Source organism: Homo sapiens, chromosome 5 (genome assembly GCF_000001405.40).
Source record: "Homo sapiens chromosome 5, GRCh38.p14 Primary Assembly".
Taxonomy (NCBI): domain Eukaryota; kingdom Metazoa; phylum Chordata; class Mammalia; order Primates; family Hominidae; genus Homo; species Homo sapiens.
The window spans coordinates 31,873,501-31,889,101 of record NC_000005.10 but is presented as its reverse complement, the minus strand read 5'-3'; the positions used below and the strand labels follow the sequence as shown (position 1 = coordinate 31,889,101).

The window sequence follows — 15,601 nt, the reverse complement described above, 5'->3', positions numbered from 1 at the left end:
GGATTTTCTGTACAAATGTATAAATCAATCTTTTCAAAGACAAACAACAGAACAACCCGCAAAACATACGTGATAGGGGAGGGGGCTCGGGGAGGAGCATCAAGAAACTGAGGAAGGAGAAACTGAAGCCGACGGAGGTTGGTCTAAAGTTTCTCCTGGCTCTGGGCATGAGGGTATCTTGACTGGGAACATTTCCATTCCATCCAACATGAGTTTTTCCCATTATCGAATGGGACCACTCTCCCGATGGTGAGATCCCATGCCCTGTATCATCCCAGACTGACTTCCTATCCCTCAGAGCATTTATCAAAGATTTCCAACTCACAGGCAGTTAAAATCAGTCAAGCTTACGGACTTCTCTCAGGGAATGATTTAGTGTTAAGAAAAACTACATCCTCAACAGTTGGTTATTGATTACCCTCTGTGTTTAGGACATAGTAAGGGTTAGAAAAACACATTCTCCTCTCTCCCTCAAATAATTTCACATGCCTTGTAGAGTATAAACCACCTCATTAACAGCCAAGCCTACAAAGACACCACTGCCTCACAAATCGGAGTACGTAGCCCTGACCAATCCAATCCCATTTTCTTTTTAGAAAACCTTCAATGGGGCCGGGTGCGGTGGCTCACACCTGTAATCCCAGCACTTTGGGAGGCGGAGGCAGGCAGATCACCTGAGGTCAGGAGTTTGAGACCAGCCTGGCCAACATGGTGAAACCCCATCTCTACTACAAATACAAAAATTAAGCCAAGCATGGCGGCACGCCTGTAATCCCAGCTACTCAGGAGGCTGAGGCAGGAGAATTACTTGAACCCAGTAGGCGGAAGTTGCAGTGAGCTGAGATCATAGCACTGCACTCCAGCCTGGGTGACAGAGGGAGGGAAGGAAGGGAAGGAAGGAAGGAAAGAGAAAAGAGAAGAGAAGAAAAGAGGAAAGAAGAGAAAATAAAAAAGAAAAAGAAAAGGAAACAAAACAAGAAAGGAAGGCAGGCAGGCAAAGCTTCTATGGGCAATATCTGCGCCATCCAAATTCCACTGCTGTAAATGGCCCAAAACAGCTGCACCCCTGGAACCCAGGCTCGAAAAATAGGGTTGTATCCCTCTGATGTGCCCAAATGCCCATCGTATGTTGGAAGTTAACAATGCTGAACAACTCCCACTCCCTCCCCGACTCTCGCCACTCTTCGGCTAAGCAGCCTTTCAAAGCTATGTGTAACTGTCCCCCCACAGACCAATCCATTTTATTTTTCCTTTAGAAAAAGTGCTGTTCCCCCCCTCCCCCGCACATAAAACTGATGACTGAAAGCAAAGCGTAGGACAGTTTTGAGACACAGGGCATGCACAGGCAACCCTCAGTATTTGAGCCTGTGTCATTCTTGACACTGTCCCCCTAACTGGCAGTTCTCTGTACAGCTATGCGAAATTTTGTCAGATTCCTACAGAAAAATCAGCCCTATTGTTCCAACAGAACAACGGACAATTGATAATCAGGACAGTGAGAGGAGAGAAGCAGACTCTGCAGATCTCAGGAATGGCACTTCTCTGCTGTAAAAATGGTTCCTATTGGAAAAGCTGCCAACCTCCTAGCTCTCCTCCATCCTCAACACTGCTTTCTCCATCTCAAAAAGCAAAATGAAACAAAATTAAGCCTGTGGATGAAAGTGCACACCACTCTCAGGCTCCGAATGTGGTCTCTCCACTGACACCCAAAGTCCTTCCAGAGAGGGTGACCCAGGACACCAAAAGTGCTCCAAGCATTTCTGAAGCAAGAGTCACTTTCCTAACACAATTCCCACTCTGTCACTGCCTCTCCATTCACACTACATATCGATTTTGTGTGTGTATGTGTGTTTGTGTGTGCGTGTGTAAAATCTGCTTTTCCCCTAGAGCCTACCAAGTGTGTACTTAAAAATATCCACTACGTTGTAGGATTTTCAGAACTCATTGAACTGGTCAACATACAGAAATCCACAGTAAGAATGAGCCCAGCCCATAGCAAACATTAAGGAAGCAAGCACAGAAGGAACAGCCCAGTCCAACTATGCATGGCACAGCCTGGCACTGGTTCTTGCACCCAGGCGGCATTCAAGAGATAAGTACAGAGACCAGGCGTGGTGGCTCACGCCTACAATTCCAGCACTTCAGGAGGCCGAGGCAGGCGGATCACCTGAGGTCAGGAGTTTAAGACCAGCCTGGCCAATGTGGTGAAACCCCGTCTCTACTAAAAATACAAAAAAATAGCTGGGTGTGGTGGCAGGCGCCTGTAGTGCCAGCTACTCGGGAGGCTGAGGCAGGAGAATGGCGTGAACCCGGGAGGCGGAGTTTGCAGTGAGCCGAGATCGCACCACTGCACTCCAGCCTGAGCGACAGAGCAAGACTCCGTCTCAAAAAAAAAAAAAGAGACAGAGACAAGTGCAGAATCTACCTGATGCAGAAGTGCCTCTGGGCTCTACCTGTAACAGTCACTGGGTCCTCCAATAAGACCTCAATTCCACCCTGGGCCGTGGCTGAGGGCCCACACATCTCAGCATCCTTCACAAAAGCAGTTTCCATCAGGGAGTTTCCTGGTCTCCTGACAACCCACAGTTCTCAGAAGGGTGGAGGGGCAAAGGGAGGAATTTCTCCAGCGGGCAGAACCTCAGCAGAGAGGAGAGAGGAGAGAGGAAGGGAGTCCGGGCAGCAAGCTCAGCAAGCTGGGAGGAAGAAGGAGTGGCAGGGAAGGAAGGGGCCAAGGGGAGGCACATAAACAACTTGGCACTAGCAAACTCAACCAAAGCTTGGAGTCGCTGCCAGCCTGAGAGTTCACCCAATGCAGCAACATGCTCTAAACAAATGCATTGTTAATTGTGGAAGATATGCACTGATCTGTTTTTTCAGTGTGTTATTCAAACTGTATAGACAATGGCTGGGCACAGTGGCTCACGCCTGTAACCTCAGCACTTTGGGAGGCCAAGACAGGCGGATCAACTAAGGTCAGGAGTTACAGACCAGCCTGGCCAACATGGTGAAACCCTGTCTCTACTAAAAATACAAAATTAGCCAGGTGTGGTGGTGGGTGCCTGTAATCCCAGCTACTTGGGAGGCTGATGCAGGAGAATCACTTGAACCCGGGAGGCAGAGGCTGCAGTGAGCCACTGCACTCCAGCCTGGAGAAAAAGAGAAATTATTTTAAAAAAAAAAACCAAAAAACTAACTCAAAAACAACAAACAAAAAAACCAAAAACAAACTATACGGATAATGCTTAATCTCCTCCCTAATTCTACTCTCTTTTCCCAAGATAATTGCTGTTTTCTGGTTTTCATGTCAACCTTCTGGACACAGCATTTATCTAATGCTATATTCGTATAGAAAAAAAATCATCACTTGACTTAATGGCTACATAGTGTACTTATGCTATACTATGTTTCTCTTTCCTTAGTGATATGTTTTATTATTTTTCTTTTTTTACATTTGTGGCTGATTAGGGAGAGATGTTTTAGAGATCACTACATCCATATAAAAAAATGCACTTCCTTCTTTGAAATTGCCACATAGTATTCTGTAATGTGGACTTACATATTTTATTCATTCTTTTGATAAATGTTTAGTTTTCATTTGTCCCCATTTCAAACACTTCTGGAGTGAATATGTGTTCAGATGCAAGTACTTCTTTAGAACACAATTCTAGAAGTACAATTTCTGGGTCAAAGAATATGTACAATTTTAACAGATGACAAAATACCTGTGACGTGTCTCACTCTGACAGTATACAAAGACCCGAACTCTACCCTGCTTGCTTCTATCATTCTTAATTTTTTACCTAAGCCTAACCTTAATTCTAACATTGTCTAAATTGGATAGTAAAGAGTAGTATTAAAAAAAAAAATCCCACTGCTTTGATTGGCATTTCTCTGATTACCTAACAGCTCAAGCATTTTTTTCTTTTTCTTTTTTTTTTTTTTTGCCGTTTGCACTTTTTCTTCTGGGAGTTGCCATTTCATACACTCCACCCGTTTTTCTTCTGGGTATTTTACTCATTAACTTACACATTTTTATGTATTCACTTAATCCATCATCTATTCTGTTTTGTACGTTTCTCTTGGTCTATCACTTTAAAACTTTACTTATGGCATCGTCCCACAAACAATGTGGTAGCTTCCTATTAACAATATAGTGGCCGGCCAGGCACAGTGGCTCATACCTATAATCCCAGCACTTTGGGAGGCTGAGGTGGGTGGATCATTTGAGGCCAAGAGTTTGAAACCAGCCTGGCCAACATGGCAAAACTCTATCTCTACTAAAAATAAAAAAATTAGCCAGGAGTGGTGGTGGATGGCAAAACCCCATCTGTACTAAAAACACAAAAATTAGCCAGGAATGGTGGCGGGCACTTGTAGTCCCAGTACTTGACAGCCTGAGGCAGGAGAATCGCCTAAACCTGGGAGATGGAGGTTGCAGTGAGCCGAGATCGCGCCATTGCACTCCAGCCTGGGTGACAGAGCAAGACTCTGCTTCAAAACAAAAAAAAACACAATACAATGACGTCCAAATTGTTGTCAACAGTAGAATCCTTTCTGGAGTGCAGTGGAATCCCAAACAGCAGACAACAGCAGACCTGCCCTGGCTGAGGCTGAATGGGCATCCTAGGGTCTCACCAATTCCTCTATCTTGATTCCAAAGTGTTTCTCAGAGCTTCTAAGAGCAGAATTTGAAACCACAGATTCAGTCCAATTCCCTCATGTAACAAATGAAGAAATCTAGGATAAAAGCCACCAGAGGGATAAGCCTAAGGCCTCCTAACAGAAACAAGATCGGCCAGACCTAAGGTCTCTGTTACGTGTCTGTGAACCCAACCCAGGATGTATGTATGTATGTATGTATGTATGTATGCATGCATGCAGTTATTTTTGAGATGGAGTCTCGCTCTGTTGCCCAAGCTGGAGTGCAATGGAGCAATCTCAGCTCACTGCAACCTCAGCCTCCTGGGTTCAAGCGATTCTCCGGCCTCAGCCTCCTGAGTAGTTGGGATTACAGGCACCTGCTACCACACCCAGCTAATTTTTGTATTTTTAGTACAGATGGGATTTCACCACATTGGCCAGGCTGGACTCAAGCTCCTGACCTCAGGTGATCTGTCCTCTTCGGCCTCCCAAAGTGCTGGGATAACATGCGGGAGCCACCGCGCCCGGCCTTAACACAGGATTTAAATTATAGAGAATAGGGCCAGGCACTGTGGCCCACGCCTGTAATCTCAGCACTTTGGGAGGTGAGATAGGCAGATCGGTTGAAGCCAGGAGTTCCAGACCATCCTGGCCAACACAGCGAAACCTCACCCCTACTAAAAATACAAAAATTAGCCCCGCATGGTGGCAGGCACCTGTAATCCCAGCTACTCAAAAGGCTGAGGCATGAGAGGTGGAAGTTGCAATGAGCCGAGATTAAGCCACTGCACTCCAGCCTGGGTGACAGAGTGAGAATCTGTCTCAAAAAAAAAAAAAAAAATTACAGAGGATTGGTTAATTCAAATTTGATCTGAAAACAAAACTCAGCAACTTAGCATCTGATTCATGTACTTTTCTTTCAAAGAAAAAGTAGCATGCTGGCCAGACACGGTGGCTCATGCCTGTAGTCCCAGCTCTCTGGGAGGTCGAGGTGGGCAGATTACCTGAGGTCAGGAGTTTGAGACCAGCCTGGCCAACTTGGCAAAACCCCATCTCTACTAAAAATACAAAAACTAAACCGGCCTGGTGGTACACACCTGTAATCCCAGCTACTCAGGAGGCTGAGGCAGGAGAATCGTTTGAACCCAGTAGGCAGAAGCTAAAGTGAGCTGAGATTGTGCCACTGCACTCCAGCCTGGGCGACAGAGTGAGACTCCATCTCAAAAAAAAAAAAAAAAAAAAAAGGTAGCATGCTAATAAACTCATAATTTCACTCAAAACTCATTTTAATGAATATTTATCATGACTGTCTAGTTATTAATGCATTAACTTCCTGTCTCTCCCCATCACAATATAAGCTCCCTGAGAGCAGGGAATTCTTATCTGTCCTTCTTTCTTATGCCCCCTGGGCCTTTTTTTTTTTTTTTTTTTTTTTTTGAGACAGAGTCTGTCACCCAGGATGGAATGCAGTGGCAGGATCTTGGCTCACTGCAACCTCTGCCTCCAGGGTTCAAGCGATTCTCGTGCCTCAGCCTCCCATGTAGCTGGGATTACAGACACTCACAATCAGGCTCAGCTAACTTTTGTTATTTTTAGCGGAGACTGGCTTTCACCATGTTGGCTAGGCTGGTCTCCAACTCCTGGCCTCAAGTGATCCGCCCACCTCGGCCTCCCAAAGTGCTGGGATTTTAGATGTGAGCCACTGTATCTGGCCCAGACCTGGGCCTTTTAAATTGTAGGTTTCAATAAATATTTGCTAAATAACTTCAACCATTACCTCCAAAACTATTCACTACAGCTAAAAGCAAGCCTAAAATGATCCAATTTACTTATTTTTAAAAATTTCAACTGCATTTATTAATGTAACCTTTGCTAGAATAGCTGGTCCATTCGTGAATGGTCTGAAAAGTGGAAGGCAGGCAGAAATCTCAGGGTCTGGATAATAATCCACATGGAATAAGTGAGAGCAATACTGCTGAAAACACCCTCTCCTCCCTCTCCCCTTCTTTATGGAACTGTCCAGGCTTCTAATTATTATCCCTGTGTTTTACAGGAATTTGGTACTTGAGGGGCCCTTTATAAAAATCCCAGGAGAGATGGGGCAGCCTCGATCAGTTGTGTTTTGGTCTGAGGTCCTTTTCTCTTGCCTGCTATTCTTCTAACTCCAACTGTGGGAACTTAAGGAGGTGAGCCACTTATGGGATCTAAGTCTGAGCTTCCTCCTCTGTTAAGAGGACACAGCAATAGGCCTTATGCTTCATAACAGTGGAAAGGATTAGTGTCGATGTATGCATGTGGCTTAGCGTAATGCCACACAAATGGAATCACTAGAGTTTATCAGTTATGATGGTCCATTAAGCTGTCAACTTTTAGGATGGGTTTTTACACACCCAGAATAACGGGATGGAGTCAAACTAAGCACTATTAAATATAAGGAAATGGGGCTGGGCACAGTGGCTCTCACCTGTAATCCCAGCACTTTGGGAGACCGAGGTGGGTGGATCACTTGAGGTCAGGAGTTCGAGACCAGCCTGGCCAACGTGGAGAAACCCCGTCTCTACTAAAAAGTACCAAAGGAATTAGCCAGGCATGGTGATGCATGCGTGTAGTCCCAGCTACTCGGGAGGCTGAGGCAGGAGAATCACTTAAACCCAGGAGGCGGAGATGCAGTGAGCTGAGATCGTGCCACTGCACTCCAGCCTGAGTGACAGAGTGAGACACCATCTCAAAAAAAAATGTGTGTGTATATATATATGTGTGTGTATTGTATTATGTATATGCATGCCCCGGCACAGTGGCTCACGCCTGTAATTCCAGCACTCTGGGAAGCTGAGGTGGGTGGATCGCCTGAGGTCAGGAGTTTGAGACCAGTCTGGCCAACATGGTGAAACCCCGTCTCTACTAAATACAATAAAATTTGCCAGGCATGGTAGCATGGGCCTGTAGTGCCAGCTACTGGGGAGGCTGAGGCAGGAGAATGGCTTAAATCTGGGAGGCAGAGGTTGCAGTGAGCTGAGATCGCACCATTGCACTCCAACTCCAGCCTGGGCAATAAGAGCAAAACTCCATCTCAAAAAAAAAAAAAATATATACACACACACACACACACACACACACACACACACACACACACATATATATGGAAATGGGATGAGACAAGTCAGTGTCATTAAAAACACATTCCTGGGAGACTAACCCTAATTTACAAAGCAAGTCAAATCCAATCATAATGGCAACTATTAGATGTAGGTCTTAGAACTCCTAGACCACAGAGAAAAAGATTTATGAACAGCTTTCAGTTAAATGCCAACCTGCTGATCAGAGATCCCAGTTCTAAACCATAGCCAGAAAGCTACCTTTCAGCCAGGCGTGGTGGCATATGCCTGTAATCCCAGCATTTTGGGAGGCCTAGGCGGGCGTATCACAAGGTCAGGAGTTCGAGACCAGGCTGGCCAACGTGGTGAAACCCCGTCTCTACTAAAAATACAGAAATTAGCCGGGCATGGTGGTAGGCGCCTGTAATCCCAGCTACTCGGGAGGCTGAGGCAGGAGAATCGCTTGAACCTGGGAGGCGGAGGTTGCAGTGCGCCGAGATTGCACCATTGCACTCCAGCCTGGGTGACAAGAGCGAGACTTCATCTCAAAAAAAAAAAAAAAAAAAAAAAAAAAGAAAAAAAAAAGAAAGCTACCTTTCTACTCTGTGTCTGAGGTTATAAGAGCTCATGTTTACCCGACTTGGCTGCCAGGATATTTACAGCTTCCATTTGGCCCCCTTGAAATCAAAAAGAATGTGTTCTGGCCCAGACCCACCACTCCAGGGAACAATAACTATTTCATACATTGGTATTTAGTACAGAGCTATGAATGCCCAACAGCCAATCAAAATAGGGTTCCTGCAGATCAGATTTTGATCTCTGCAAATGAGGATAAAAGCTAAAGCCAACTCTGGAAAAGCAAGAAAGAGAAAACATTCTGTTCATAGAATTTTGAACGAGCTTACTTCTATCCATTCATACAGAGGACTATTGAAGCAGCGATGAAATGCCCTATATACAGCAGAATGTTGAGACATGGGCAATCCACGTGGCATGGAATCTTGATATGCCCTCAAGGATTTGAATAATAATTTAATCATCTGTGTCTTCAAATTAGCCAAATTTGAAAAATCTTAATGGAGTTTCATATAAAGCATAAAACAAAATGTCCATCATTGCTCTCGTCTTTTAAAGGCAGGTATTGGCCGGGTGCAGTGGCTCACGCCTGTAATCCCAAGCACTTTGGGAGGCCAAGGTGGGTGGATCACGAGGTGAGGAGTTCAAGGCCAGCTTGGCCAACATGGTGAAACCCCATCTCTACTAAAAAAAAATACAAAAAGTAGCCAGGCGTGGTGGTGGTGGTGGGCGCCTGTCATCCCAGCTACTTGGGAGGCTGAGGCAGGAGAATTGCTTGAACCTGGGAGGCGGAGGTTGTGGTGAGCTGAGATCGTGCCATTGCACTCCAACCTGGGCAACAAGAGCAAGAATCCGTGTTAAAAAAAAAAAAAAAAAAAGGCAGGTATTGCTAAGAAAACTGTAAGCAGTTTAGCAGAGCCAAAATCAGATCTAGTGATTAAATCACAGGTCAGTTTGGTCACTGAAGGCACTTTTTTTTTCAATTCCAGAAATAAACATTTTTTCCTCTATCTAACAAAGACCCTGAAGATAATGAGAAAAGCTAAGAAGAAAACGTTTTAAAATCTGCCTTGGAAGGGAAAAAATTCTCCAATCCTTATAAATCTCTGAAGGCTGCTGCACAGGAAAGAAAAAGGAAGGACAAGGCAATAGAAATGTAGGCACGAAACACCAACCAGCGGACAAACTGAGTTTGCCTCTTGCTGAAACCGATTTGACCATTCATAAGAATGCTAGATGCTCTGCAAATCCTGCTAAAAGGAGACTCAGCAAACAGCTATCAGAATAACTTACAGTTACTCTCAATCTTAGCCTTTATTCTCTAAAAAAAAATAGTGTGTGTGACAACTTGCTGGGGTCATACCTGAAGAGAAACGTCCATTTTTTTTTTTTTTTTCCTTTTTGAGACAGAGTCTCGCTCTGTCGCCCAGGCTGGAGTGCAATGGCACGATCTATGCTCACTGCAAGCTCGGCCTCCCAGGTTCACGCCATTCTCCAGGCTCAGTCTCCCAAGTAGGTGGGACTACAGGCGCCCGCCACCACGCCCGGCTAATTTTTTCTATTTTTAGTAGAGACAGGATTTCACCGTGTTAGCCAGGATGGTCTCGATCTCTTGACCTCGTGATCCGCCCGCCTCGGCCTCCCAAAGTGCTGGGATTACAGACGTGAGCCACCGTGCCCGGCCCGAGAAACGTCCATTCTTAACATCCATTTAAGCATTCCACCACTGACAGTAATTAGAATATAAACGGGTGGCCACCCCCAGTGAATGACCATATCAATGTCCTGGTCCAACTGCTGATCCACCTACATGGTTGGACAGTGCCGTGTCTATGCAGTTAGTTAGCTAATGGAGGAAGGGTAGACAATAACAGATATTTAAACACTGGGTTAGCCATTTTCTAACAAATTGCAAAATAAGCCGAGGTCGGCCCGGCGCGGTGGCTCACGCCTGTAATCCCAGCACTTTGGGAGGCCGAGGCAGGCGGATCACGAAGTCAGGAGATCGAGACCATCCTGGCTAACACAGTGAAACCCCGTCTCTACTAAAAATACAAAAAAATTAGCTGGGCGAGGTGGCGGGCGCCTGTAGTCCCAGCTACTCAGGAGGCTGAGGCAGGAGAATGGCGTGAACCCCGGGGGGCGGAGCCTGCAGTGAGCCGAGATCGCGCCACTGCACTCCAGCCTGGGCGACAGCGAGACTCCGTCTCAAAAAAAAAAAAAAAAAAAAAAAAGCCGAGGTCATCTGACCACCAAAGAAAAGGACCTGTACGTGTCCATGCTCTTCTCCAGGTATCCTTCATTTGTGGTCCCTCTAAGCAAGAGGCCCAGAAACTTCAGAGCAAGCTATGCCATTCATGGTCTTGGGCTTGTCTATGTTCTTCTGAAGTTCAGAAAAAGAGAATAGTGCTTTTAAAGGCACATTCTAGTAAAATAGGCTGGTTGATGGGAGCACTGGGAAGGGATGGATCCAGTTGTCAGGGACCAAGAAAAAAGCCCCTGGGGAAGGCATGGAGCAGAGGGCATCTCCAGTGGATGAAGTGGCCCAGGATAGCGCTCCCAGGCTTGCTCTGCTATCTGTCACACATTTCAGTTACCACCAACCATAAGCAATCTGAGCATGTGAGGTGCTAGGGTGCTTGTTGAGCTTATCAATTACAGTCATGGTATTTTTCTCCTTGTCTCAAAAAATAAAATGCAAACCACTTCAAATCTCTGCATTCTGATTTATCACTCTATGAAAATACTAGGACTAGACCTAATTAATACAGAGTTGTAAGATACCTTCATAAACAAAAATAGTCCAGGCGTGGTGGCTCACGCCTGTAATCCCAGCACTTTGGGAGGCCAAGGTGGGTGGATCACCTGAAGTCAGCAGTTCGAGACCAGCCTGGCCAATATGGTGAAACCCCATCTCTACTAAAAATACAAAATTAGCCAGGTGCGATGGTGTGCACCTGTAATCCCAGCTGCTCGGGAGGGTGAGGTAGGATAATCACTTGAACCCGGGAGGGAGAGGTTGCAGTGAGCCAAGATCATGCCACTGCATTTCAGCCTGGGCAAAAAGAGCAAAACTCTGTCTCAAAATAAATAAATAAATAAATAAATAAATAGACCTTTCAGCAAAGTTTCTCAAGCAAATTTCTGTGAAGCAATTTTCCTTTTGACCTGCATTAGGGATACCAGGCGTGACCTTACCAGAAGTGATATGACAATGAACAAAGTACAGCATTTTAAAACAAATTATGAAAGAGAAAAGACTGACTTTCTGGGCCAGGCATGGTGTCTCATGCCTGTAATCCTATCACTTTGAGAGGCCGAGGGAGACAGATAACTTGAGCTCAGGAGTTCAAGTCCAGCCTGGGCAATGCAGCAAGATCCCATCTCTACCAAAAATCCAAAAAATATTAGCTCAGCGTGGTGGTATGCACCTGTGGTCCCAGCTACTTGGGAGGCTGAAGTGGGAGAATCGCTTGAGCCCGAGAGACCAAGGTTGCAGTAAGCCGAGATTGCACCGCTGCACTCCAGCCTGGGTGACAGAGAGAGAACCCATCTCAAAACAAACAAACAAACAAACAAAAAAACAACTTTCTGATAAAGTACTAATGAATCTAAACTGTTAATAATCCTATGCTACTCAGAAGGTTTAACACAGCTGAAATTTTAAAATGCAGTAATGCTATTATAGAGTAACAATCATCATTTATCAGCAGCTTAAACCAGGCAGGACACATGCAGTAACTCATTGAATCATCACAACCTCCCATGAGTAGATATTTTAATATCCCCATTTTATAGATAAACCTGAGGCACAGATAGTTTCCAAGGCATGCAAATGTGAAAATGCTAGAACCTGGGCAGTCTCAGAACCCAGTGGTTTGAAAAGCTGCACAGACACTGAAATTTTTTAAGGAGTGAATTTGAGGCCATACCTGGTCACCACCCAGAACTGGGGCTCCATTGCTTTCATCTTTATGTCGCTTGGCACATAGCCTGACTCCAGAGTCAATGCCCTGTGTTATATTATACTCAGGGAAATTTATGTAATTGTGGATGACATTGTAATTACAGAGTTTATATTTCAAAATAGTATTGAAGACCTGCAGACAGTTGATTACATTTAATTATCAAGACCAACCTCCAAACAATTAGAATAGGAGGATGCTGCAAGATCACTGGAAACAAAAACCCAAATTCAGGCCAGGTACGGTGGCTCGCGCCTGTAATCTCAGCACTGGGGAAGCCGAGGTGGGTGGATCACTTGAAGTCAGGAGTTTGAGACCAGCCTGACCAACATGGTGAAACCCTGTCTCTACTAAAAACACAAAAATTAGCCAGGCATGAGGGCATGCACCTATAACACCAGGTACTTGGGAGGCTGAGGCAGGAGAGTCGCTTGAACCCAAGAGGCAGAGGTTGCAATGAGCTGAAATCACACCACTGCACTCCAGCCTGGGCAATAGAGTGAGACTGTCTTTAAAAAAAAAAAAAAGAAAAAAAATTCAAATTCAAAAATCAAGCGCATTCCTTTACACTAGCAATAACCAAATAGAGAATGCAATACTAAGAAAAAACACTGGCTGGTATAGTAACCAAAACTAGAAAGTACATAGACACAAGTCTAAAAGAAACTTTAATAAGAAATCATAAAACTTTATTGAAGGATACAAAAGAATATTTGGATTAATGAAGTGATAAACCTTATTTATGGAGAAGAGAAGACAACATTTTAAAGATGTCAATATTTCCCAATTAATAACTTCAGTGAAATTCCAGTAAGTCTCTCAACAAGAATTTTTAGGAAACTTGAAAAATATTTTAATGTTTATAGGGGAAGAACTGAGAATAAGACAACTGTGAAAAAGGAGTATGAAAGGATGGACTCATTCTATCAAATATTAAAACACATTAGATAACTATAGTAATTAGCATAACATTGATGCAGGAATAGACAAATTATCAGAAGAGAATAAAGAACCGTAACACTGACCTATATATTTTTAGGGACTATATATGTGAGGCAAGACCATGTTAATCACTGCACTGGATTTTTAATTGATTTGGGGTGTGTGTATATATATAATCCCAAATAGATTATATTTAAATATATATTAAATTTATATGCTTATATTTTAAAAATATATTAAATTTGTATATATTTAAACATATATTTTTAAAATATATATATATATTTTTTTTTTTTTTGAACAGGGTCTCACTCTGTCACCTAGGCTGGAGTGCAGTAGTGTGATCTCGGCTCACTGCAACCTCCACCTCCCAGGTTCAAGCAATTCTCCCATCTCAGCCTCCTAAGTCGCCAGGATTACAGGCATGAGCGACCACGCCCAGCTAATTTTTTTGTATTTTTAGTAGAGACAGGGTTTCGCCATGTTGGCCAGGCTGGTCTCGAAATCCTGGCCTCAAGTGATCGGTCTGCCTCGGCCTCCCAAAGTGCTGGGATTACAGGCATAAGCCACCATGCCTGGCCTTGAAATATATTTTTAATTCATCTTAAATTTGTTTTTCCCTTCAGAGGGAAGATCTAATTATATATTTTCCACATGAAAGCCAAAAAAGCCCTAAATATGAAAAATTACTGGAAGAAAGATATAGAGGATGTAGAGAATTTTCTTAAAACAAAACAGCAAAGGCAGTTAAAATGAATGACTCCATGGACATGGCCAGATCTCAAAAGGAAAAAATAAGCAGCATAAAAAGCAAGACGTGATACATTAATACTATTTATGTCAACTAAAATACACATAAAAATGCACATGCTTATCTATAAACAGTACATAGCATTTAAACATCAAAACTTAGACTGGAAGGATATGCACTAAACTGGAATGGAATGGAGCTGGGGTTTCCCAGGGTTAAAGGGGACTTCTGTTATAATTTTGTTGTTGTTGTTGTTTAAACAAAGACTAAAAGCAAATATGACAAAATATTCATGACCATTAAATCTGAGTGGCAGACATATAGATGTTTGCTAGATTCTGTTTTGCATTTTATCTTTTTTTTTTTTTTTTAAGATAGAGTCGTGTTCTGCTGCCCAGACTGGAGTGTAGTGGCACGATCTCAGCTCACTGCAACCTCTGCCTTCTTGGTTCAAGCAATTCTCCTGCCTCAGCCTTCCAAGTAGCTGGGACTATAGGCATGTGCCACCACACCCGACTAATTTTTTTACTTTTAGTAGAGATGGGGTTTCACCATGTTGGCCAGGCTGGTCTTGAACTCCCAACCTCAGGTGATCCACCTGCCCTGGCCTCCCAAAGTGCTGGGATTACAGGTGTGAGCCACCACACCTGGCTGCATTTTCTCTTTCAAGTTTTGAAAAGAATTCTAAAAATGCATATGTTAAATCTAGTATTTCTTCATCAACTTTCAGTATTTTATTTATAATCCCATCCTTGCTTCAAAACACGTAACATAAACAGGGCAGACAAATAAATGGTTACTGATCTCACCTGTGATGATTGATTTTTATGTGCCAATGTGGCCAGGCTATAGTGCCCAAGTTGTTTGGTCAAGCAGCAATCTAGATGTCACTGTGAAGGTATTTTTTAGCAGTGATTAATATTTAAACCAGTAAACTCTGAGTCCATAATGTGAGTGGGCTTCATCCAATTAGCTGAAGACCTTAACAGAAAAGATTGAGGTTTCTTGAAGCAGATGGAATTGTCCCCTCAAGACTACCATGTAGAAACCCTGCCTGAGTATCCAGCCTGCCTGGCCTGCACCCAATTAAGACTCAAAGACTGCACCCAGGCACAGTGGCTCACGCCTGTAATCCCAGCACTTTGGAAGGCCAAAGTGGGCGGGTCACCTGAGGTTAGGAGTTCAACCAGTCTGACCAACACAGAGAAACCCCATCTCTACTAAAAATACAAACTTAGCTGGGCATGGTGATGCATGCCTGTACTCCCAGCTACTCAGGAGGCTAAGGCAGGAGAATGGCTTGAACCTGGGAGGTGGAGGTTGCCGTGAGCCGAGATCACACCATTGCACTCCAGCCTGGGCAACAAGAGCGGAACTCTGTCAAAAAAAAAAGACTCAAGACTGCAATGTCAGCTCTTATCAGAATTTCTGGCCGGGTGCAGTGGCTCATGCCTGTAATCCCAGCACTTTGGGAGGCCAAGGCAGGCGGATCGCTTTGAGCCCAGGAATTTGAAACCAGCCTGGGCAACATAGCAAGACCCTGGCTTTATTAAATAAATAAATAAATAAATAAATAAATAAATAAATAAATAAATAAAAAGAATTTTCAATCTTCTAGCTGGCCCTGCAGA

The 15,601-nt window shown here is 44.0% G+C and overlaps 1 protein-coding gene across 6 annotated transcripts in view, besides 2 other annotated features; it reads right to left on the bottom strand.

Moving 5' to 3' along the window:
• The window catches only part of PDZD2 (PDZ domain containing 2), a 471,802-nt gene that overhangs the window by 221,831 nt on the left and 234,370 nt on the right, over positions 1 to 15,601 (bottom strand). The window lies entirely within an intron of this gene.
• Positions 9,467 to 10,424: an enhancer, noted in NCBI's record as "H3K4me1 hESC enhancer chr5:31878784-31879741 (GRCh37/hg19 assembly coordinates)". NCBI's record gives its function as "activates a minimal SCP1, AML or CMV promoter by ChIP-STARR-seq in naive H9 embryonic stem cells {active_cell/tissue: H9 hESC(naive)}" and the evidence as "EXISTENCE:reporter gene assay evidence [ECO:0000049][PMID:30033119]".
• Positions 11,513 to 12,014: an enhancer, noted in NCBI's record as "OCT4 hESC enhancer chr5:31877194-31877695 (GRCh37/hg19 assembly coordinates)". NCBI's record gives its function as "activates a minimal SCP1, AML or CMV promoter by ChIP-STARR-seq in primed H9 embryonic stem cells {active_cell/tissue: H9 hESC(primed)}" and the evidence as "EXISTENCE:reporter gene assay evidence [ECO:0000049][PMID:30033119]".